The 24,786-nt window shown below is 39.7% G+C and overlaps 1 long non-coding RNA gene across 4 annotated transcripts; it reads left to right on the forward strand.

Annotated features, from left to right (window-relative positions):
- The first annotated feature begins 827 nt into the window (after positions 1-827).
- On the forward strand, positions 828-23,291 carry LOC101928608 (uncharacterized). Of its 4 annotated transcripts, XR_007061900.1 has the most exons (9): positions 828-1,006; positions 8,891-9,043; positions 12,997-13,057; positions 15,330-15,753; positions 15,879-16,024; positions 17,433-17,507; positions 18,118-18,269; positions 20,079-20,199; positions 21,873-21,910. It is a non-coding gene; the product is annotated as an uncharacterized LOC101928608 (long non-coding RNA). The 4 variants fall into 4 exon arrangements; XR_007061899.1 differs by having other exon boundaries at positions 15,879-17,271; positions 20,079-23,291; XR_001746695.3 differs by lacking the exon at positions 21,873-21,910 and having other exon boundaries at positions 20,079-20,682.
- The last annotated feature ends 1,495 nt before the right edge of the window (positions 23,292-24,786 follow it).

Consider the following 24,786-nt stretch of genomic DNA (forward strand, 5'->3'; position numbering starts at 1 on the left):
TTCCTTCATAACTAGGAAAAGGGAGACAAGCTTTCTTACTTTTCAACAAAAAGTTTCTCTGTAATCATTTACATGCTGACCTTCTTATATAAATACACAAAGTGACTCTTAGGAACATGTAAGTGATTATAGGAAGTTAACATATACCAATGACTTATTTGCCACCAACTTTATAAGTAGGCTTCTAGTTACTGCAGCATATTAAATAATGGTATCATTTGTTTTTCTGAAACAGATGCAAAACACTGTGTTCAATTTTTTTTTTTAAGATGGTGTCTTGCTCTGTCGCCAGGCTGCAGAGCAGTGATGCAATCTTGGCTCACTGCAACCACATTGCTACCACTGTAGCCGAGTTGTGGTCTCTGATGTCACCAACAGCTGCAGCGAGGTAAGCCACGGAGGCGCAGGCTCTGGCTCCAGCCTCCAGCATGCAGCGGTGTCTCTTCCTTCTCCTCGTCTTCCAGCCCGGCAGGAGAAGCTCCCGCTGCTAGCCTCCCTCCTACCGCTCCGTCACCAACACAACCAACAGGGAGGCAGCGCCCCAGGCTCCAGGCTCCAGGCTCCAGCGGGTGAAAACTAATGGACCCTTCTAGTTCTCTAACCCAGGTACCTAGCAGCTGAGCACACTGACACAGAAGACCCAAAAATGACGCACCACTTCCTCAGCACGCTTTATATACTGAAGTTACGGATCCTGGACTACATGTTCTGATTGGATGAGAGAAAAACCTCTAGGCCTACTCTGATTGGACTTTATTTTCATGCTGTGATTGGTTATTTTAAGACTTGCTCTCATGCAATCAGAACATGAAGTCTAGGAACCGGCATGCGCATAACCTCCGTATATAAATGATGCTGAAAAACTGTTACGGTTTTTTTTTTTTTAGGGTTCGGTGTTTTACTGTTGAGCTGCTCAGTGCCCAGCTTAGAGGACCAGGAAAAGGAGTCACCGGCCGTATGCTGGAGGCTTGAGACACGGCACAGCGGCGCAGCTCGCCTCGCTATGGTTGGTGGTGGCAGTGGAGATTGCGATTGCCGCGCGGCTGGAGGGATAGGAAGAGGAAAATAGTTTTGGGATAGATAGAGGGGTGGGTAAAGAGTTTGGTTATTGCCAAAGGGAAAAAAGGATAGCGAGGAGGAGAAGGCGTTGCAAAAAGACGATGGGGAAAAGATGGTGGGGAAAAAAGGTTTTGGGTAGATGGAGGTGGAAAGACAGGGTGTGGAGCGGGAGTGAGGGAAGGTTTTGCAGAAAGACGGTGGATAGAAAGTTTATGGGTGGATGAAGGGGGAAAAGATGGTGGCAATTGGGGAGAGGAGAGAGTGGTGAGGTGGGGGAAATGGGCTAGCAGTAGGGAGAGAGGGTTTTGTGAAAAGACAGTGGGGAGAGAAGTTTTTGGGTAGATAGAGGAGCAGAAGAAGATAGCAAGTGGGAGAAGGAAAAAGGGTAACTAGCGGGAGGAAGACAAGGTTTTGCGAAAAAACAGTGGCAGAAAAGAAAGATGGTGGCGAAAAGACGGTAGGTAAAAAGTGTTTGGGTAGATGGAGGAGGGAAAGAGGGTGACGAGGAGGAGAAGGGAGGGTGGCGAGAAGGGAGCAGGGAAAGAAGGGTGGGAAAAAGACGGGAAAATAGTTTGGGATAGATGCAGGGCAAAAAAAAGGGTGACAAGCAGGATAGGGGAGAGAAGAGGACGAGTGGGAAGAGGGGGCAGACTTTGTGAAAAGATGGGGAAATTTTGGGGGGTAGATGGGGGGAAGAGAGAGGTGAGCAGGAGTGGGGAGAAGGCTTTGAGAAAAGATGGTGGGGAAATGTTTTTGGGTAGATGGAGAAGGGAAAGAGTGGCAAGGAGGAGCAGGAGGAAAGACAATGAGGAAAACAGTTTTTGGGTAGATAAAGGGGGAAAAGAGGGTGGTGAGCAGCAGGAGTAGGGAAAAGGCTTTGGGAAAAGACGGGGGGAAAATGTTTTTGCTTAGATGGAGGAGGAAAAGGGCATGATGACAGCAGGAGGGGGAAAAAAGAGGGTGGCCAGGGAGAAGGGGGAAAATACGGTGGGAAAAAACGGGAGAAAGTGTTTGGGTAGATGGTTGGGGAAAAGCGTGGTGAGCGGGAGAATAGAGAAGGCTTTGCGAAATGACGGGGGTGGGGGCGGGGAGAAAACGAAATGATGGTGGGGAGAAAACGATGAAAACGGTGAAAACGTTTGGGGGTAGATGGAGGAAGAGAAAGGGTGGTGAGAGGGAGAGAGCGAAATGCGGTCGGGAAAAGAAGGTGGGGAAATAGTGGGGGACAAAAGTTTTGGGTAGATTTTTAAAAATAAGATTATTTGTATTTTCACTTTTGAGTAGTTTGAGTTCTTTAGATATTTTGTGTATTAACCTCTTGCCTGATGCATAGCTGCAAAGACTTTCTTCCATTCTCGGGTTCTGTCTTCATTATACTGATTGTGCTTCCTCTGCTTTGGAAAAGGTTTTAAGTTTAATGTAATTACATCTTTGCTTTTGTTGCTTGTGCTTTTGATGTCTATTTGAAAATTCCTTGTCCTAACCAATTTCATGAAGCATTTATCCTATGTTTTCTTCTCTGGTAGTTTCATAGTTTCAGGTCCTGTATTTAAATCTTTTATTTTGAGTAGATTTTTGTATATGGTAAGGTAATGGCCTAGATGTATTCTTGTACATGTGGGTGTTGGGTTTTCCTAGTACAGTTTATTGAAGAGATTGTCCTTCCCGAAGGTGTGTTCTTGGGGCCTTTGTTAAAAATGAATTGACCGTAAACGCGTGAATTTATTTATGATTTCTCTATTCTGTTTCACTTGTCTATGTCTGTCTGTCTCATTCGTTCATCTCTCTTGTCTCTCCCCCGCCCCTTTTATTGAGAGTACCATACTGTTTTGATAGTACCATCCTTACTATAAATTTGTAGTATATTTTGAAATCAGGTAGTGTGATGCCTCCAGCTTTTCTTTTTATTCCAGATTCTTTTGTCTATCTGAGGTATTTTGAACTTCCATGTGAATTTTGAGATTCTTTTTCTATTTCAATGAAGAATGTCTTGTAATTGAACATGGATTGCATTGATTCTGTAGATCACATTGGGTGATACACATATTTTAACATTCTTCTAGTGCATAGAGATGGGATATCTTTCCATTTACTTGTGTCTGCTTTAGTATCTTTCATCTATGTTTTATGAAGTTTTCATTTTGGGATCTCTTGCCTTTTTGGTTAAGTTTATTCCTAGATATCATTTTTTTGGTAATGAAATAGCTTTCTCGATTTCTTTCTTAGATATTTCACTATTGGTGCATGGGTGTAGTATTCATTTTTATATTTTGATACTGTATCTTGGAACTTGACTAATTTATTATTTCTAGTAGGTTTTTTGTGGAATCTTTAGGGTTCTCTCTATATATGTTCATGTCACCTGGAAACAGACAATTTGACTCCTTTTTTCCAATTTGGATGCCTTTTATTGCATTCTCCTAATTGCTCTAGCTAGGACTTCCAGTATTATGATGAACAAAAGTGGTGTAAAAGTAGCCACACTTGTTCCAGATCTTAGAGGAGAAGAGCTTTTAACTTTTCCTTCTTGATTATGTTAGCTGTGGGTTTGTCATATATGGCCTTTATTGCACTGAGATATGTGTCTTCTGTACTCATGTTGTTGAGTTTTTATCATGAAGGAATGTTGACTTTTATTTTTTTCAGCGTCTACTGAAATGATTATATGGTTTTTGTTGTTGATTTGCTGAATGTGATGTTGCATATTTATTTGTGTTTATTGAATCATCCTCATATTCCTGGGTTGAATGAAATCCACTTGATCATGGAAGATGATCTTTTTATTGCATTGTCAAATGCAATTTTCAAGTATTTTGCTGAGGATTTCTTACACCTCTGTTCATCAGGGATATTTGCCTGTGGTTTCCTTTTTGTGTTGTGTTCTGGTCTGGTTTTTGTACCAGGGTCATGCTGTCCTCATAGAACAAGTTTTGAAGCCTTTCTTCCTCTTCATTTTATGGGGAATATTTTGAGTAAAATAGATATTAGCTATTTTTAAAATGTTTGGTAATTCAGCAGGAAAACCATGATTCTTGTGTTTTTCTTTGCCAGGAGACTTTTTATGACTGCTTTAATTGCATTCCTCATTATTGGTCTGTTCAGGTTTTTTATTTTTATTTTTTATCATTCTATCTTGGGAATTCGTTATGTGTCTAGAAATGTATTCACTTCCAGATTTTTCAATTTGTTTGTGATGTTTTTAGTAATCTTTTAATGCTTCGTATTTCTGGGTTACCAGTTCTAATGCCTTCTTTATGACTTTGTTTTCTTTTTATCTAACTTCATCTAGTTAAAACTCGTCAATTTTGATTTTTTTTAAAACACCCCAGCTTTTGTTTCATTGACTTTTTGTATTTTTTGTTTCTATTTTTAAAATTTCTTCTCTAATCTTTATGGTATTTTTTCTGCGAATTCTAGCATTTGATTGTTCTTGTTTTTCTCATTACTGGAGGTGTACTGTCAGGCTATTTGAGATCTTCCTACTTTTCTGATGCAGGCATTTATAGCTATACACTTTTCCTCTTAGAATTGCCTTTGGTGCATCCCACAGGATTTATGTTGTGTTTCTATTCTTACTTGTTTCAATAAATATTTAATTTCCCTTGTATTTTTTTCATTTCTTTTATTGGTTGTTCATGAGCGTGTATTTTAATTTCCATGTATTTGTACAGTTTTTAAAGTTCTATCTGTTACTGATTTCTAATACTATTCGACTGTGGTCAAAAAAGATACTTGATATGAATTCAGTTTTTAAAAATGTGTTGGGTGACCGAGGCGGGATCACGAGGTCAGGAGATCGAGACCATCCTGGCTAACACGGTGAAACTCCGTCTCTACTAAAAATACAAAAAATTAGCCGGGCGTGGTGGCCGGCTCCTCCGGAGGCTGAAGCAGGAGAATGGCGTCAACCCGGGAGGCGGAGCTTGCAGTGAGCCGAGATAGTGCCACTGCACTCCAGCCTGGGAGACAGAGACTCCACCTCAAAAAAAAAAAAAAGTGTTGTGACTTGTTTTTTGGCCTAACACAGTCTGTCCTGTAGAATAATCGATGTGCCACTCAGTAGAATGAGCATTGTGCAGTTGCAGAGTGAAAAGCTGTGTAAATGTCTGTTAGGTCCATTCTGTATAGAGTACAGTTTAACTGATGATGTTTTGTTGTCTGGATGATCTGTCCGTTCGCGATAGTGGGGTGTTGATTACGGTGGAGTGTTGAGGTACTCTATTATTGTATTGCAGTCCCTCTGTCCTTTAAAGCCTGTTAATATTTGCATCTATATTTAGGTGCTTCAGTGTTGGTTGCATATGCACTTAACGGCTGTTTACTTGTTTCTCATTATATAATTATCTTTATTTTTTCTTTTTTTGAGTTAAAGGCTATTTTATCTAAGTATAGCTACTCCTGCTTTTTTTGTTTCCGTTTGTATGGAATATCTCTTATCATCCCTTGACTTTGTCTGTGTATGTCTTTATAGGTGAACTGAGTTCCTTGTAGGCAGGACATAATTGGGTCTTTTAATCCATTCAGCCACTCTGTCTTAATTTAATTTACATTCAAGATTATTACAGATAAAAACATACTACTGCCATTTTTTACTTTTTTGATTGTTTTGCTTTTTCTTTTGTTCTTTCTCCCTTCCTCTTTTCTTTCTGATCTCTTTTTATTTCTTCTCTTTCCTCCTTGCCTTTCTTCCTGTCTTTATTTGTAGTGAAGTAATTTTTTCTGGTAGTGTTTTAATTCCTTGGTTTTTATGTTTAGAGTGTCTGTTGATTTTTGTTTTCTGGTTACCATGAGGCTAAACAACATAACAAGTTACTTTAAACCGAAGAAAACTTAACTTTGATTGGTCTCAGCTACTCAGGAGGCTCAGGTGGGAGGACCGCTTGAGCCTGGGAGGCCGAGGTTGCAGTGAGCTGAAATCGCACCACTGCACTCTCCAGCCTGGGTGACAGAGTGAGACCATGTCTCACAAAATAAATAAATAAATAAAAATGCAATAGCTTTATAATGAATTCTGATTGTAAATTTGGAGATGATATATTAAGGTATAAAGAGGAAAGTGAAAATCATAATCTCATTACCCAAGGATAACTACTTCTAATGTTTTGGTACATACGCTTCCTAATTCATAATCCCCTCTCTTTTACACACACACAAATGTACACGTAAAATAGATAGACTTTACACACATAAAATTTTATTGTAACATTTTGAGAAACACGGTTTTGTAATTTTTTCTTTAAAAATATTGCAAATAAGTTCTGTGAATAACATATAATAACATACATCTTAGTTTTCAGATTTTGTTTTTTGCTCTTTGGGGTGGCAGGTTCGCTTTTGGCTAAAATGAATCGTCTCAGTATCTTTGATTTTCCTTCTCTCCTCTAAGCTGTTGCTTTTGGAAGGGGCGCCTGGATCTCCCTCCTATTTACTTGGGGGCAAACACATAGTATCAAGGGGTTTTGAAGACACGTTGCCTGTGGCAGATAGCAACACTGGCTGTAGTTCTGAAAATATTAGCGTTTTTGTCCTGTGATTAATACTAAGATGTAAATGAAGTGGTTTAGATCACTGTAGCAAATGACCTAGATATAACTGTGTGTGTGTTTTAGATCATTGTAGCCAATGATTTAGATACAACTCTGTGAGTACCTTTTAATTAAGGGCTCAAGATTTCTACACAGTATGTTCATTGTCTGCTTTATTTGTAGAAGTGTAAAAGCTGATACTTGGGTGATGTAAGAAAATGGATAGGTTTTACTATCACAAGGAAAAGGTAATATCCATACACTTTTGCCAAGGAGGCATGGGTTACTTAAATTGGCTTCTGGATATTGGAGTTTGGGTATGATAGCCTTACGTTGAATTTTTTGGTTACTGCTTGATAATATTTATTTCAGTAATTGTGTTTAGTAATTGATTGTGTGTGTTAATGAACAGTCCTGTCCTAAAAGCAAAAATGAAGTGGTTCAAGGGAGCATGAATTGTTAACATCTCCTTTAAACAAATAGGCTAGGTTAAAATTTTTTTACAGAGCTTTACAGTATTACGTGTGAGTTTATTACACTATTACATGTCAATAAAAATGGCAGCAGAAGCTCTCTTAACTGACTTGCCAGATGGATTAGATCTCTCCATTCACTCAATAAAATGTCCATTTTATTGAGTTTTAATCCATTCAGAATCCATTTAGAAATACTATCTTATTTAACCTGTACCCTGTTTCAACTAGCAACTGGATTATAAGAGATGTGTATTAAATATTTTAGAAGACAGATTCTTTTAAATAAATAAAAATTATCACACAGGCTGTCTTAAACTTTTAAAAAAGAGATCTGATTTTAGATTTGGTTAAAATACTAGCCTACATTAGTATTCTTTCTAGGAAATAAATATTCACATAAATTGTTTTTCCAGAAATTGGCCTTGAATACAGATTTCAGATCGTTGAAAACGGAACCATTTGAAATCTGCATTTCCTTTCCTTTTCCTAATTTATTTCAGTCGCTCAATAGGATTTTCTCATGGAATTAACTTTTCCCTCTCAGCGTAGTTACATAAGCTTGCTGTTGTAATCATGAAAAATAATTACCCATTTCAGCACTTACTAACGTGGACTTTACTTGAAGGGTCTCTGGTTTTAAAGTCAGAGCACATGGCTAGAGGCAGATGAAGAGTACCTCATCATTCATAGCCACTGAGTCTCTATAATTTTTAAATGCCTTTGGAAAGCTAGATCTCATACTCAAAAGCATGCTTTTGTGTTACAAATCTTTTAGTGAACTACTTACTCAGGTCATAATGCTTTTAAAGCCCTGTTTTTCTTTCCTCAGAATAAACTGAATTACATGTTACCAATAACAATGCCACATCATTTCAAAGGAAACTGAATTAAGTAATCCAAGTCCGGGTTGCTGAAAACTAGATGACACAGGGTAGGCACTGTTTTGGTTACCGTGCAAAGGATCTCTATTAGTCAGCTTGGGCTGCCATAATAAAATACCATAGAACTGGGTGGCTTAATTTTCTCACGGTTCTGGAGGCTAGAAGCTGTAGATCAGGGTGCTGCTGCTTCGGTTCCTGATGAGGGCTTTCTTCCTGGCTTATAGGTTGGCTGGCATCTTGTCCTCACATGGCAAAGGGGAGAGTACTGTAGTCTCACCTTGTCTTAAAACGACACCAGTTCTATCAGATTAGAGTCCCACCCCATGACCTCATTTAACTGTTAGTACCTCCTCACAGGCCCTGTCTCCAAATTTAGCTATATTAGGGATTAAAGATTCAACATATAAATTTTGAGAGGGCACAAACATTCAGTCCATAAAAGAAACTAGTTGTTTAATTAACAAGGATTGTTGAGCCCTGATATCTTGTTATACCTGCCTGTGTCCTTCCCCCATTCCCCTCCACTCTCATTTCCTCAAAAACACTCAGATAAGGATTTTTTTCAGATACTGTTATTGTTACTTATCAAACTACGTAGTAACATTATGAATTATAAATGTTATTAGCCATTGAGAAAGTAGCTGTGCACTGACTGACCCCAATTGACTGGGAGGGCTAGATGGTGCCTTCTCTGTGGTGGAAGATAGGTTGGAGAAATGTGGTTGGTAGCAAATGCTGTCTGATTTGAACAGCTTTGAAGAAGGCTGGTTCTAGTTGATTTCAGTTCTCTCCAGATGCCATTTGAATCTAAACCAATTTTCTAGTTCTTATCATTACAGAATTGTCTTCTGGAACAATTATTTCTTTTTGTGACTTGGTAGCAATATGGATGTAGTTTTCTGAATCATTAAGGCATTTTAACTCATCTTCCATTCTCTTATTTTTTAAGTCCTTTAGGTTGTTTGAGGGACATTCATCAAGGAAACCGGAGAAACTTAAAATGCTCTTCCGCTTCTTTGGAACAGTCACAGAGAAAAGTGAACTCCTTTCATTCTTGCAGTAATTTTTCTTGCTGATGGGAACAGTTCAAGTCAAGTGACATGTGAGTAACATTTTGTGTTTAACGTAAACCTTCCTGTCCCAACTACATTGAAACAGTAATGATGCGACAAGGTAACTTCGGTTTTATGCTTGTGTTGTGTATAAGCATAAATGTGTGCTATAAATGTAGGGGGGCGGGGTTTACATACTCTGAAATCGGACACATATTCTATACATCAAAACATTTTCATGAATAAAAACCAGAGAAACTATATTGACCAGGAAATAAATTTTGGATGCTCTTTATTTAAAGAAGCATTCACTAGTTTATTTGTATAAGTCAACTAACGCATTGCTTTTCTACCCATTCCTCTCTTTTGCGCCCCCCTAAGCCCTTTGTGGAGTTCTCATAAAACTGTTTTGTACTGAGTTTTATATCCATCTTCCTCTATTGAACCTTAACATTCTTGCTTCCCCAAAACCTGAAAGCAGCTGAGGCAGTAATAGTAAATGTCCAACAAATACTGGTAATGACCAACCGATAATAGATTGGTATTGCCACTCTTATCTCAGAAGCTGAATGACCGTGGTCAAGTTTCTTGACACCTCTAAGCTTCAGTTTTATCACCTATGAAATAATATAATAATGGTTATTATCTTACAGGGTAGTTATAGATATTAAACAAGGAGATACATGCTTAATAAATGTAAGCTATTATCAATGGGTAGCCTTTCCTACAAGTGGATGTAAACCAGAACACCTTAAAAGTTTCTTTGTGCTAAGTAGGTAATGTCAACCTGGTCAAGTGAAATGGCTTTTTTTCAGTTCTGGGTTGTAGGATTGTCTTAAAACATGTCTTTGAACAATTTTAAGGTCATTTTTCTCATATCCTTCTTTTACTCTTGCATGACAGTGTACTTGGCATCTTCCCCCTTGAATGTATTGCTATTGGACATTGTTAAATTTTTAGAATGAAATCAATTATCAGGATTTTAATATTTAAGGGAACATTATATGCTTCTCTGATACGGAATTATTTATCTCATAGCTTATTGAATTTCAGTTTTGTGCCCTGTACTGAATGAAATATTAAAATGCAGAATCATTTGGACCTATGAGACACAAAATCAAATTAGAATTTGTAATGACTTGTTAAAAAGATGACTACGTAAGGCCAGGCGTGGTGGATCACGAGGTCAGGAGTTCCAGACCAGCTTGGTCAAGATGGTGAAACCCCGTCTCTAATAAAAAATAAAAAAATTAGCCAGGCGTGGTGGCAGGAGCCTGTAATCCCAGCTACTCGGGAGGCTGAGGCACAAGAATCACTTGAACCCAGGAAGTGGAGGTTGCAGTGAGCTGAGATTGTGCCACTGCACTCTAGCCTGGGTGACAGAGCAAGATTATGTCTAAAAAAAAAAAGACTACTTTTTTTTGGCTATTCTAGGTCTAAGTAGAATTATTACTGTTGGTCTTTTTTGTTTTGTTTTTACAGTACTTTGAGTTGCCGTTTTAAGTAGAATTGTTATAACTAAGTAGTACAGAGTTTACTTTTTTGTCCTGGGAGTCAAATCATGTATGTCTTCTCTAAAAACTAACTTGGCTTTCTACATTTTAGGATTTCAGATACTTTGAGGAAAAAGCTAAAAGTTTGTTTTTTAAACTAGAAATGTATATGCCATTATAAGTATTTGGAATTTGAAGAAATAAATTATAACTAGACATTTTATTTTCTGACTTTTTTACTGTACATGTTAATTAAGTTCTTTGTAGAAATACAGTACAACATTGCTCTTGGTCTGCAGTATGTAAAGCTAACGGTTTAAAGAGGAAATCCTAAAGAGAATAAAAGAGGTTGCAGTATAATGAGTCGTTGTGTAGAAGTTCTGGAGCCTACTCAATAGACTTGAGAAGCTTATTTAAGGTACCATATTTCATCGAATCTAAGATGTCATAGATTATTTTTAAAAAGTGCTATTACATTATATACCTCTAAGAAGGAAAAAACACTCAGGACAGGGAGTTTAGTAGGAGACCTAACCCACAAGGCTGGTACACCTAGGGATAAATGAGAAATTAACTTGACCATCCAGAAAAGGGACCATAAAGAAGCATGCAAGTCTCAACCTTGACACTAAATAGAGAAAGAAAAAAACATTTCTCTGAGAATTTGAACCACAAGCCCTAAGCTTTGGGTGTGCAGCCTTACCACCAGTGTGGTCCACAAAGGCCTGCCACAAAGGATTAATTCAGATGGTGTTGGGCTGATAGTGTTCCCAGATGACAGCAGAAGCAGATGCACATCTTCTCTGGGAAAATTCTCCTCTAGTCTAGACCTATGGTAAGATACCTCCATTATAAAAGATGTATTCCAGTTTCAGAAATGTAGTATGTGGAAAAACCCGCCTTTTAGAATTGATAAAATAGAATTCCATCAGGACCAACTTTTCAGTGTTGTTAAACGTGTATTTTATATTTGATGAGGATCTTGAGACTGAAATGTTTTAAAAAGCCTTCTGAATTAAATTACTTTTTATATAGTTTTAGATAAAGTATCTTATAGATCAGATTTTTGAAAATTTATGACCTGTATGTAGTATATATTGTGATTTTATTATGGGAAGTATTTGATTAATCAGAGTATCCTATTCTGAGATGAAAGTTGCCTTGTTATGAAAAAGAAAGCTAACAGACATGCTCTCAAGGCATTTTTTGTTAATCTGAGAAACCATGTTCTTCTGCCTTTTCTTGCTTTGCCAGCAGTGTTTACGAATTTCTCTTAGCATCTCTTAGTATATATGAAGGACATTTGGTGTTCTTACTTCTCTGCTAAGTTACCGAATGACAAGAGAGATGTTTTCTATTATATTCATGGAATTGCATCTCTAGTGTTAGAGTTGTTTGACCACTTACTCGTGAGTTTTAAATATGTTATCCGTTTATCTTAAAGTTAGATATCTAAAGAATGTAAGACCTATGTTAACAAAAAATTTTGTTTTCTTCTGCAACTGTTCCGTATGGTTTTTGAGTGGTTCCTGCTTTTGACTGAGAACAAGGAAATGTGGAATTGTGCATAGGAATGAAATGATGGCCAGGCTTTCACTGGGTTATACACTGTCATCAGTAATAGTTCCTGACATCTCTCTCTTTCCTTAAGAGCTTTTTTCTATTCAAGAAAACAGAAATGGCATGGCCTTTTTAGTTTGCTCTTTGATTTGAGTCAGACAAATTACTTCTGGCCAGCTGATATATTTGTTTCTTTTGCTACTAGCTTTAAAAAATAAATAAATCTGACTAGAAAAGGATCTCATCCTCTTAAAATTATTGACTACATTAATACTACTCCATTTTGATCCTCCCAAATGTATTGCTTCTTGAAAAATATGTCATCTTTATTCTGTAAACTCTTAGAACCAGTAATTTCTTCTCTGGCTAAGACTGCTACTAACAAGTAGAGTGATTGCCCACTATCTAAGCCTGAAACTTAGCTTTACTAACTTCAGAGGATGTGCAAATGATTTTCTTTTTAAAGCTGTGGCATTTCACTTTACTACAAAGTACATAAATGTGTCTTTATTCACCAGTCTTTGAATGTAGGGTTAAGTCCTTTCTTTGTAAAGGAGTCTACAAATTTGAATTCAGTTTTGTCTTTACTGCATAAGCTGTACCAGTTATACATCCTTTTTTCCAATGGTTTTGTTTTTAAAAGTGTATTCAGCTTCAAAACTTTACCAAAAAGTACCAGCACTCAAATCCTACTGTTGTGCTGTTATTTGTATAGTTTCGTTTAGTGAAGTCTTACTGTTTTATAGGAGTTTCTACTGTAAGGATAATATTTTCAATCAATATTCTGTTATTTTCCAATGCTAGGCTTTGTATTTCCTGGTTAGTTTTATAGTCAATGTTAGACCTATTCTTTTATCGAGTGTGTGTGCGCGCGCATGCACGTGTGTGTGTATAATGTTTTCAAAATTGAAACTTATTTTGGGTATGTTTTTCTTTTATTGCTTCTGTAGAACCTACTGGGTTGGTGACATTTACAAGACAGAGTCTTGAGGATTTTCCAGAACGGGAAAGGTAACAATAATAATAAAAATAATCCTAGACCCCTAGAATTAGAAGGACTCTTGCACTATGAGAGGATTCTATTTTAGAGCACCTGGAAAGATGGTTTTCCAACCTCTATCCTAGTGCCAGGGAATTTCTTCTCAGAAGTGATCCATCGATAGCTCTCATTTTTGAAAAGGTTATGCCTTTTAAATCAAAGTCTGTAACCCTTTGATTTCTACCATTTTGTCTTGGTTTTGTCTTCTGAAAGAAAGTGGTGTTTAAAATTGAGGAGTGTTGTATGTGAAGACACTAATAAAAGGAACGCCAATATATAAACGTTTCTCCTTACCCTTTTTTTGGTTAGTGTTTGAACTTTATGGCTTTTCTTTCTGGAGGACAAGATTGAGAAAAGTCTTTTTATTATTTACATTTTAGTAAATAGTAACCGTCTAGAGTTTGAGTGGCAAGAATTTTGAAGTTTGGCTGCCCTTGTGTACTACTGGTAGATTTTCTGCAAGTTGCTATTTACTGTTTGTTTCTTATTTATCAGAAAATAATTGAGGAGATAGCAGCCAATCTGAGCTAATTCAGATTTGTAAGGTCCTTAGTGTCCTGAAATAGTTAACATATTTCTTAATCTAAAGCAAGTCCCCCAATGCACTTAAGTGTGGATTAACTTTTTAAATATGTTTGAGGACATGGTGAAGCATACTAAACACATATTTAACCAATGCTTCCCATTTTCACTTTCTAATAATTTTATGATAGTTTGTAATTGTTTTGTTTGGAATTAGTGATGAATGGAAATCACTTAAAAAAAAAGTTGAGAAGTCATATCTGCTTAGGTGGCTTTCCTGCGGTGTTTTCATCCATCAAAGATGTTTATTTGTGAAGGGAAAGATAAAGAAATTTACTTCAGAAGACTGAGTGTATGGTTTAGGTGATTATTAATAGAGGGAAGTAGATAAAAGGTTAAGAAACCTGAAGAGAGAAAAAAAATGAGCCAGAAAAAGATGAGAACATGTACAGCATTTTGGCATCATGCCATGTCAGATCTGAAAGGAACCCCAGCCGCCTACTAAAACTCTCAATAGCTCTGTAATACCTGCAACAGTTGGAAACTGGATAGCTTCAGTGACGGCAAATCCGCTGTTGCACATCAGTTTGTTCCATTGGTGGCTGCTTGTGTTATCATCTCATGCTTTCATTCACTAAAAATGTTTTCTACATTCATTCTCCACTATTCCTGGTTCTTCCTTCTAGAGCTATGTAAATAAATCTGAATTTCTAGTTTTCTTTAAGATTTGACCTTCCTTCATGTATCTTAATGGCTTCTTGACCTATTTTCCTCTCCAAAAGTGCATACAAGTTCATACTAAACTGATTCATTTCTTCTATTTCACATGTAATATGGAGTCTAAACCCTTTATCTCTGCTCTTAACAGAGTAGATTGGTTGCAGTTTCTTGGGTGCAGGAATGAAAAAATGAGTACATTTGCCTCAGCCTCCCATATAGCTGGGACTGTATAGGTGCATGCCACTACACCTGGTTAATTTTTGTATTTTTTGGTAGAGACGGTGTATCACCCTGTTGGGCCAGGTTTGTCTTGAACTCCAGACCTCACTGCCTGCCTTGGCCTCCCAAATTACTGGGATTACAGGCATAAGTCACTGCGTCTGGCTTGGGGGAGTTACTGTTGAAGTATTGTCTTTGTATCCCAAAGCAGGCCCTTCTGAAACTGATGATGTTGATGAAAAACTCCTTCTACTGAAGTCTTTGCAATGTATAATCTTTTCACTTCCATTTTCCTACATACTGTTTCTATTGGTTCTTTGTATTCCACAGACTGTGTTTTAGTATTTATAAGTATAGTGTTCCTTTTCTATGTGGAAAAGGGAAAATGTATTGGCCTTTTTTTAACATATAAATGAACTTCACAAGCAACAATTTTTCAAATCAGTTTTCCCTGTTGTGAATCTCGAAGTGGGTACATGATGCACTTTCCCATTTAAGGTAAAGTACACATTTATCCCTTATCTCAGAACAGTCAGAAGTCAGGTTCTTATTGTATGGTTAGTAATGCAAATATTGATAAGGTCATGTCAATACTTAGTATTTAGAAGAATTCTGAAATAGCACTTGTTACTCTGTAAGTTTTATGCATTTATTACTTTTTTTGAATTTTGTATAATGTTCCCAAACTTGACTGCCTTACTTCTATCTCTTCTGGCCTCAAGTACAACAAGATGTATTTTCTTTAGATTTAGCATATAATATAAATTCAATTGTTTATTTCAGATTTTGAAAGAACAAAGAGGAACTACAGAATCATTGCTTACATTGACACCGGCCCTGTTGTCCCAATGGATGGGTTTTTTTTGGATGAACGTCAAAATTGACCCTGCTGTTAAAGCTTGAAACTTGGATCTGTTGTATCTGAGTTCTCTCCTCAAAAAAAGACCTTCAGGAAGTATCAGATAACTGAAACATACCAGATCACAGCACCACATGCCTCCTGCCCCTCCCTAATTTCTGTTCTCTTATACATTGTTAAATTTTTTTCCTGCCCCTATTAGTCAAGCCCATGGATTTGAGACTGAGCTCCCAGCTCCTGGGCCGCAGCACCAGGTTAAAGCTTTCTTCCTTGGCAGTACTTGTCACCTCAGTGACTGGCTTTTTCTCCGATGAGCAGGAGGACCTGGACGAAACCCCTAGTGTTTGGGTAATAACATGAACGACCATCTTAACTGTTATTCTTTATTGAAATTTTACTTTTTAACTACTGGCCTCTTGTTCATTATCTCCCATTCTTTTGACTTCATATCTCTTTTTTCGTTGACTTTACAGTCAAGGAACTTGATGCTCCCTAAATCCAAATATTACGGTTAAAAGAAGAGAGAGGAAATGTGTGCAGAGAAAGTGTATTTTACAAATGAATTAAAGGTGGATTCTGAGATACAGGTTTATAGATTTACCTAGAGTTTTGAGTTCAGGTGAGTTTTCACAATATGCAGTAAGTGGAAAAGAATCCCAAAATAATTGTGACATGAAAAAGCTAGATGTTGAAAACCAAAAAGATTTCACTTTGGTATGGCACTTTTAATTCAAGAATACTAGCCACCAAATGAGTTTTTCTGACTGTAATCATTGCTCTTTAAAAATTGAGATGTATTTATAACTTTTGTTTGACTTTTAGTACAGCTTCTGAATTTAGTTATCAACAGATAGGACAAAATAGATGAGCATCTGCTTCCCTTCCCCCTAAACAATGTATTCTTACCGAAATGTAATATATTTTTATTTATACTTGAAGACAGTGTTTTTCAATCTTTTCCATGTTAGTAGCTCAGATCTTTAAGGACAGAGGATGTGTACTGGGGGCAGTTTGTGGTCTTAATCCTAAGTGGCACTCTGATATTTTAGATTATTTCTTTCATATTTGTGAGTAAAACTTCTGCTCCAGTAGGATGAGCCTGTTTACCTTGTGACTGCCTAACAGATCTGTTGCTTTATATGCCAGTTTTTAGAAGCAGGCAGATTACGTTACTTGGATTAAAATGTTTTTGACACTAAAGGTAGTATCTTAAATTTTTACATATGAGTTACTTTAAGTACAACTTTGCTTAAATTATGGGGATCGAGTTTCCATAACTTTCACCATAGTGAAAATGGAAAGCAGGGAACATTCCACAGCAAATCCTGAACTTACTTACAGAGTTAATTGAGCAAAGCAGGCATTCACACTTGTGTGTGTGTGTCAGTGACAGATGAGCATGGTACTTGAAGCATAATTGTGCTGCTTCAGATTCCAATATCCAGTAATTTTATCATGTAGCTAGAGTAACTAATATTAAGTCCCCAAGCCTACTTGGGTCTACTGTATTTGTATTTTAAAAGAATGTTTTTAAGCTACCAAATAGACATGTTATATATTTCTTCTGAATTAGAAAACGTTATTTGGATTAATAGAGTTAATAGAATCATATTTTATGTTTATTATGTCTTTTTTTCTTTTTTCATGAGATGGAGTTTCACTCTCGTCACCCAGGCTGGAGTGCAGCAGCGCGATCTCAGCTCACTGCAACCTCCGTCTCCTGGGTTCAAGTGATTCTCCTGCCTCAGCCTCCCGAGTAGGTGGGATTACAGGCCCCTGCCACCACGCCTGGCTGATTTCTTGTATTTTAGTAGATATGAGGTTTCACCATGTTGGCCCAGGCTGGTCTCGAACTCCTGAACTCAGGTAATCTGCCCTCCTCAGCCTCCCAAACTGCGGGGTTTACAGGTGTGAGCCACTGCACCTGGCCTATTATGTCTTAAAAGTGCTTGCATCGTCACCTAGATTATTTTTTATCTTTCAATGTGAGTTTTTATTGGTTTATATGTTGTTTGTTTTCTTTTTAGGAAGCCATCATTCTTTAGAGGGCAATGACCAAACAGTACCAGCAGAAATTGAAGTACCAGCAGAAGGCTAAGAAGGTTAGGAGAAAAAGACATTTTGTATTTTACTGTTATTTTCTTTTTTTTTTTTTAGACGAAGTCTTGCTCTGTCACCAGGCTAGAGTGCAGTGGCACGATCTCGGCTCACTGCAACCTCTGACTCCCTGGTTCAAGTGATTCTCCTGCCTTAGCCTCCTAAGTAGCTGGGATTATAGGCACAGACCACCACATCCAGCTATTTTTTGTATTTTTGGTAGAGACCAGGGTTTCACCATGTTGGCCAGGATGGTCTCAATCTTTTGACCTCCTGATCTACCCACCTCGGCCTCCCAACATGCTGGGATTACAGATGTGGGCGCTTGGCCACCTCCTCTTGGGAGAAATGCACTGATTCTGGTTGCCACGTGGATTTATTTTGGGAGTGATATTCATCTAACTTCATGGAAATAGTACTAGATAGAAAGTTAGCGGATGAATTCTCTATCTGATGAGAGTTTTGGGCAAATCGAATACCAAGTTACCAAGTTTTGTTTTTTTCTCTGATGCAAAAAAACAATTTGCCAGCCAGTGAAAAACTCTCACAGCTCTGGATGTGAGTTTAGGATACTGGATTTCTACCATTCAATTTCTTACTACTTTTCTTGCACAGGGATCATGGCACAAGCTGCAGTTTCCACCCTGCCCATTGAAGATGAGGAGTCCATGGAAGATGAGGAGTCCGTTGAAGATGAGTCTGTTGAAGATGAGTCCGCAGAGAACAGGATGGTGGTGACATTGCTCATATCAGCTCTTGAGTCCATGGTGAGACCTTCTGTTCTAACATTCTGTAATTGGGTAGTACTGGGTGGTAGATAAGGTTGATTTGTTTTTGTAGAATTTATAATTTTATGATTTATAGTTCTAATGAGTAGATCTTTTTCTTGAATAGTAGTTACGGTCAAACACTTCTGACCAAATGTGCCATGTTGTCCAGCCTGGTCTCAAAATTCGGGGCTCAAGAGACCTGCCCACCTTGGCCTCCCAAAATACTGGGATTACAGGTGTAAGCCCCTGAATCTGGCCAGATATTTTTCTTTTTATGGCTGAATAATACTCTGTGTATGTATATATTACATTTTCTTTATCCATTTACCTACTGATGGGCATTAGGGTTGGTTCTACCTTTTGGCCACTGTGAATAATGCTGCTGTTAAACGGGTGTACAAATACCTGTTTGAGTCCCTGCTCTCAGTTATTTTGGGTATATACACTTAAAGGGTGTTGGTGGATCATATAATTCTGTGCTTAATATTTTTAAGGAGCTGCTAAACCATTTTCCACAGTGGGCTGTACCATTTTACATTCCAAAAGGCAATGCATACAGCTTCCAATTTCTCTATAGCATTGCTGACAGTTAATATTTTCTGTTTATGTACTGTATTTTTATAGTGTTTGAAATTAATCTGAGGGTTTTTGCTGATACCAAAATATTAGGAAAGGTTTTCCAAAAATAATACTGCTTATTATAAAGAATTTTATGTGTTACTTGATGCCCTGTGATCCATTTTCTCAGTAAGAAGAGGAACTACTCGGCTGGGCGCAGCAGCTCATGCCTGTAATCCCAGCACTTTGGGAGGCCGAGGCAGGTGGATCACAATGTCAGGAGTTCAAGACCAGCCTGGCCAACATAGTGAAACCCAGTCTCTACTAAACAAACAAACAAAAATTAGCTGGGTGTGGTGGCGGGCACCTCTAATCCCAGCTACTTGGAAGGCTGAGGCAGAGAATTGGTTGAACCTGGGAGGCGGAGGTTGCAGTGACCGAGATTGCGCCACTGCACCCAGCCTGTGTGATAGAGTGAGACTCCATCTCAAAAAAAAAAAAAAATGGAAAGAAGAGGAACTTCTCTCCATTCAACCTCATTCCACTGCACCAACTCTTCTGTGTCGGGTTGTGCAGGGGAGAAAGGGAGCTTGGCACCTCTTTGCTGTGTTGAGTTGTGGTAGCCCATCACTGGGTTGTAAAGTGCCTTGCCTCCTCCCCCCACCTTTTTTTTTGAGACAGAGTCTCACTCTGTCACCCAGGCTCAGGTGCAGTGCTGAGATCTCTGCTCACTGCAACCTCAGCCTCCTGGGTTCAAGCGATTCTCCTGCCTCAGCCTCCCAAGAAGCTGGGACTATAGGCACGTGCCACCACACCTGGCTAATTTTTTTTATTTTTAGTAGAGACGGTATCACCATGTTGGCCAGGCTGGTGTTGAACTCCTGACCTCAAGTGATCCACCCACCTTGGCCTCCGAAAGTGCTGGGGTTACAGGCATGAGACACTGCGCCCATCCACCTCCTCTTTTACTTGGGAGAAATGCGCAGATTCTGGGTGCCATGTGCATTTGTTTTGGGAGTGATACTGATCTAACTTATGGAAATAATACTAGATAGAAAGTTAGTGGATGGATTCTCTATCTGATGAGAGTTTTGGGCAAAACGAATTCCTAGTTTCTGAGTCTTATTTTTCCCCTGATTCAAGAAAACTGTGAATTATCCAGCCGGTGAAAAACTCTCACAGCTCTGGATGTGAGTTTAGGACACTGGATTTCTACCACTCACTTTCTTACTACTTTTCTTGTGCAAGGATCATGGCACAAGTTGCAGTTTCCACCCTGCCCATTGAAGATGAGGAGTTTGTTGAAGATGAGGAGTCCTTGGAGAGCAGGATGGTGGTGACATTCCTAATGTCAGTTCTCGAGTCCACGGTCAGACCTTCTGTTCTCACATTCTGTAGTTTGGTAGGACTGGGCAGTAGATAAGGTTGATTTATTTTTGTAGAACTTACAATTTTATGATTTTCAGTTGTAATGAGTAGACCTTTTTCGTGAATAGTAGTTATGGTTAAACACCTCTAACCAAATGTGCATGTGGAGTTTCTACACTGATTTTCAGACAATCTGGATCCCAACTGGGTATCCCACAATTCCATCCTGACACTCCCTGGAGTTAGTGCAGACCCCGCAGGATGGGGGCTCAGTCCCAGGAGTCTACCCTCACTCCACATGCCAATTGCAAGTCTTGGGTTGTCACATGTAGTTTTGACCGACCAGTTAGAAAACAGGGTTTCATGACCCCGTTGCTGGGTGGAATCATTTGCTCGGACAGCTTGCAGAACTCAGAAAAACAGGTTTTTTTTTTTTTTTTTTTCTGAGATACAGGGTCTCAGTCTGTTGCCAGACTGGAATGCAGTGGTGTGATCAAAGCTCACTGTAGCATGGGACTCCTGGGCTCAAGTGATCCTCCCACCTCAGCCTCCCAAATAGCTGAGACTACAGGCCCGCACCAGCATATCTGGCTAAGTTTTTTTATTTTTTGTAGAGAAGGGGTCTTGTTATGTTGCCCAGGCTGGTCTCAAATTTCTGGGCTCACATGATCCTCCCACTTCAACTTCACAAAATGCTGGGATTATGGGTGTGAGCCACTGCATCTCACCAATTTACTTTCTTTTACTGGTTCATTTTAAAGGCTATATCTCAGAAACAGCCGGTGAAAGAGATGTACATGCTGGGCACAGTGGCTCATGCCTGTAATTTCAGCTCTTTGGGAGACTGAGGCGGGAGCATCGCTTAAGTGCTCAGGAGATTAAGACCAGCCTGGGTAACACGGCGAAAACACATCTCTACAAAAAGGTTTTTCTAAAAATTAGCCAGGTGCAGTGATCTATAGTTCTAGCTACTCAGTGCCTATAATTCTAGTTACTCAGGAGGCTGAGGTGAGAGGATGAGAGATGGGGCTTGAGCTAGGGAGGCATAGGTCGCAGTGAGCCACGATTGTGCCACGGCACTCTAGGCTGGGGGACAGAGCCAGACCCTGTTTCAAAAAAAAAAAAAAAAACCACAGGGCAAGGTGTGTCGGGAGGTCGGGAGGGGTGCAGAACTTCCATGCTCTCTATTGCGCGTGTTACCTTCCTGCTATCTCCCTTGTGTTCAGCAACCCCGGCATTCTCCAAATCTGGTTGTTGAGGTCATTTATGAAGGCTTCTTTAGGCAGGCATGATAGATGAAATCATTGACTATTGGTGATTAAGTCAGTCTTCGGCCACTATTTCTTCCTGGAGCCCAGTGGGTGAGGCTGACAGTTCCAAGCCTCTAATCACATGGTTTGTTCTTCTGGCAACCAGCCCTTTTTCTTAAGCTGTCTAGGAGCTTTCAGTCACCCAGTCATCTCAGTAACATCACCAAATGCATTCTTACTATGGTGATCCCAAAGGTCTTAGAGGCTCTTCTGTTAGAAACCTGGGACTAAGACCAAATATTCAAACAAAAGATGGTCCTATCACCTTTATCACCAAGGCCTTTATAAGAACTTGAGAAGCTCTGTGCCAGGACGAGGGGCAGAAACCAAATGTGTATTTCTTTTCTTTTTCTTTTGAACACAGAGTCTCTGTTTCACCCAATCTGGAGTGCAATGATGCAGTCGTAGCTAACTGCAGCCTCAACCACCTGGGCTCAAGCAATTCTCCCGCCTCAGCCTTCCAAGCATCTGGGACTACAGGTGCACACCATCCATGCCCAGCTGATTTTTGTATTTTTTTGTAGAGATGGGATCTTGTTATATTGCCGAGGCTGGTCTTGAACTCTGGGGCTAAAGCAATCCTTTCACCACAGCCTCTCAAGTAGCTGAAACTACAGATGCATACCACCACGCCCAGCTAATTTTCTCTTATTTCTTTTTGTTGTTTAATTGTGGGGGGGGATCTCACTGTGTTTCTCAGGCTGGTCCCGAACTTCTGGCCTCAAGCATTTCTCCTGCTTTGACCTCCTAAACCGTTGGGATTATGGTTGTGAGCCCCGGCCTCTGTGTCCAGCAATCACAAGAGGTCTTTATAAGTGAAAGAGGGAGGTAAGAGAGTCAGAATTGAAGGAGATTTGATGATGGAAGCACAGGTCACAGAGGGAGATTTGAATATGCTTTGCTTCTGGCTTTGAAGATGCAGTTAGGGGCCATGAGGCAAAGAATAGGGGTGGCTTTCGGAACTGGGAAAGGCAAGGGAACACCTTCTCTCTGGAAACTCCAGAAGGGATGCAGTCCTGCTGACACCTTGACTTTAGCCTTAATAGACCTATTTTGGACTTCTGGCCCCCAGACCTGTTAGGTAGTAGATTTGTGGTGTATTAAGCCACTCAACATAGGGTAGTTTGTAACAGCAGCAAGAAGAAATGAACATGAAGCCAGGGGTAGTGGCCCACACCTATAATTCCAGCTATTTAGGAGGCTGAGGCAGGATGGTTGCTCTGGCCCAGGAGTTCAAGATAAGCCTGGGCAACAAAGTGATACCCTGTCTACATGGGGAAAAAAAATTAGCGGGTGTAGTGGCATGCACTTGTAGTCTTAGCTACTAGAGGCGCTGAGGCAGGACGATTTCTTGACCTAGGAGTTCCAGGTCTCAGTGTGTTGTGATCGTGCCATGGTGCCCCAGCCTGAGTGACACAGCGAGACTATATCTTAAAAAAAAAGTAAAAAGAAATGAGTGAGCATGGCAGGAATGGGGACACATAGCAATATTAAATAGAGTGGTCAGGGTTGGCCTCCTAAGTGAAAATTGAGCAAAGACTTGAAGGAGGGGAAGGAGCTGGCCAAGGTACTGAGGGAAGAGCATTGTAGGCAGAAACAACAGAATAAAGGTGCTAAGAGGGAACTCCGTGGTGTGTCTGAAGCTCAGGAAAGAGGCTTGTCGAGCAGAGAGAGGGAGAGAAGGTAGGGGAGGAGGCCAGGGAGTTGTGGGACTCAGATCAGTACAGATTGTGCAAGCCCTGGGAGGCTATTGCTGGGGCTTTGGCTTTTATGCTGAGATGGGAGATGCGGAAGGGTTCTGAGCAGAGAGGTGACACGAACTGTCTATTGATTTAAAAGCATCCCATGGTGGCTGAGTTGAGAAAGATTGTGGGAAGATTTGGGTAGAAGCACGGAGGCCAAGCTGTGGCAACATCCAGGTAGGAGATGATAGTGGTTCTGACCAGGGTCCTGGCAATGGTGAGAGATGGTTGATTCTTGTTGAGATACTAAGTAATTAAAAAAAAAAAAAAAACATTACTGCTTTTCCTGATTATATGAAGTATGGGATGCTAGATTAAAGACATCTTAAGTCGGGCCAGGTGCAGTGGCTTATGCCTGTGGCGTCAGCACTTTGGGAGCACTTTGGGAGGCACAGATGGCACAGATGGGAGAATTGTTCGAGTCCAGGAGTCTGAGACCACCCTGGGCAACATAGCAAGACCTCCTGTCTATGCAAATAAAAATTAATAAAATATAATTATCATGGGATAGTGGTATTTTCCTGTAGAACCAGTTACTCTGGTTGTCGAGATGGGCAGATCTCTTGAGGGTGGGAGTTTGAGGCCAGCTTGGGCAACATAGCAAGGCTCCTCTTTCTACAAAAAAAAAAAAATCATCTGGGTGTTGTGGTCCCAATGAGGGACAGCATTCCTGAGACTTTTTAAGTACTTTGTGTGATGGTCTAATAATCATAGCCTTAAAACTTTCTGGCTGGGCATGGTGGCTCACACCTGTAATTCCAGCACTTCGAGAGGCCGAGGCGGGTAGATCATCTGAGGTGAGGAGTTCGAGACCAGCCTGGCCAATATGTGAAACCCTGTCTCTACTAAAAATACAAAAATTAGCCAGGCATGGTTGCAGCACCTGTAATCCCAGCTACTCGGGAGGCCAAGACAGGAGAATTGCTTGAATCCGGGAGGCAGAGGTTGCAGTGAGCTGAGATGGGCCACTGCACTCCAGCTTGGGCAGCAGAGTGAGACTTGGTCTCAAAGAAAAGTTATTGTGATATGCTGTACACATTCACAAATTCAGTGTCTCCCAGAAGTGTGAGATTCTTTTTTTTTTTTTTTTTTTTTGAGACAGAATTTCACTCTTGTTGCCCAGGCTGGAGTGCAATGGTGTGATCTTGGCTAACTGCAACCTCCACTTCATGGGTTCAAGCAATTCTCCTGCATCAGCCCAAGTAGCTCCTGCCTCCCAAGTAGCTGGGATTACAGGCATGTGCCACCATGCTCAGCTAATTTTTTATTTTTAGTAGAGTTGGGGTTTCTCCACGTTGGTCAGGCTGGTCTCGAACTCCCGACCTCAGGTGATCCACCCGCCTCGGCCTCTTGAAGTGCTGGGATTACAGGTGTGAGCCACCATGCCCAGCCAGAAAGTTTTAAGGCTATGATTATTAGACCATCACACACACACAAAGTACTTAAAAAGTCTCAGGAATGCTGTCCCTCATTGGCCTGGTATGACAAAGATAAGAAGTCGGTCGTGAAAATTTCTGAATGTGGTTTAGGACAAGG

Source organism: Homo sapiens, chromosome 9 (genome assembly GCF_000001405.40).
Source record: "Homo sapiens chromosome 9, GRCh38.p14 Primary Assembly".
NCBI lineage: Eukaryota > Metazoa > Chordata > Mammalia > Primates > Hominidae > Homo > Homo sapiens.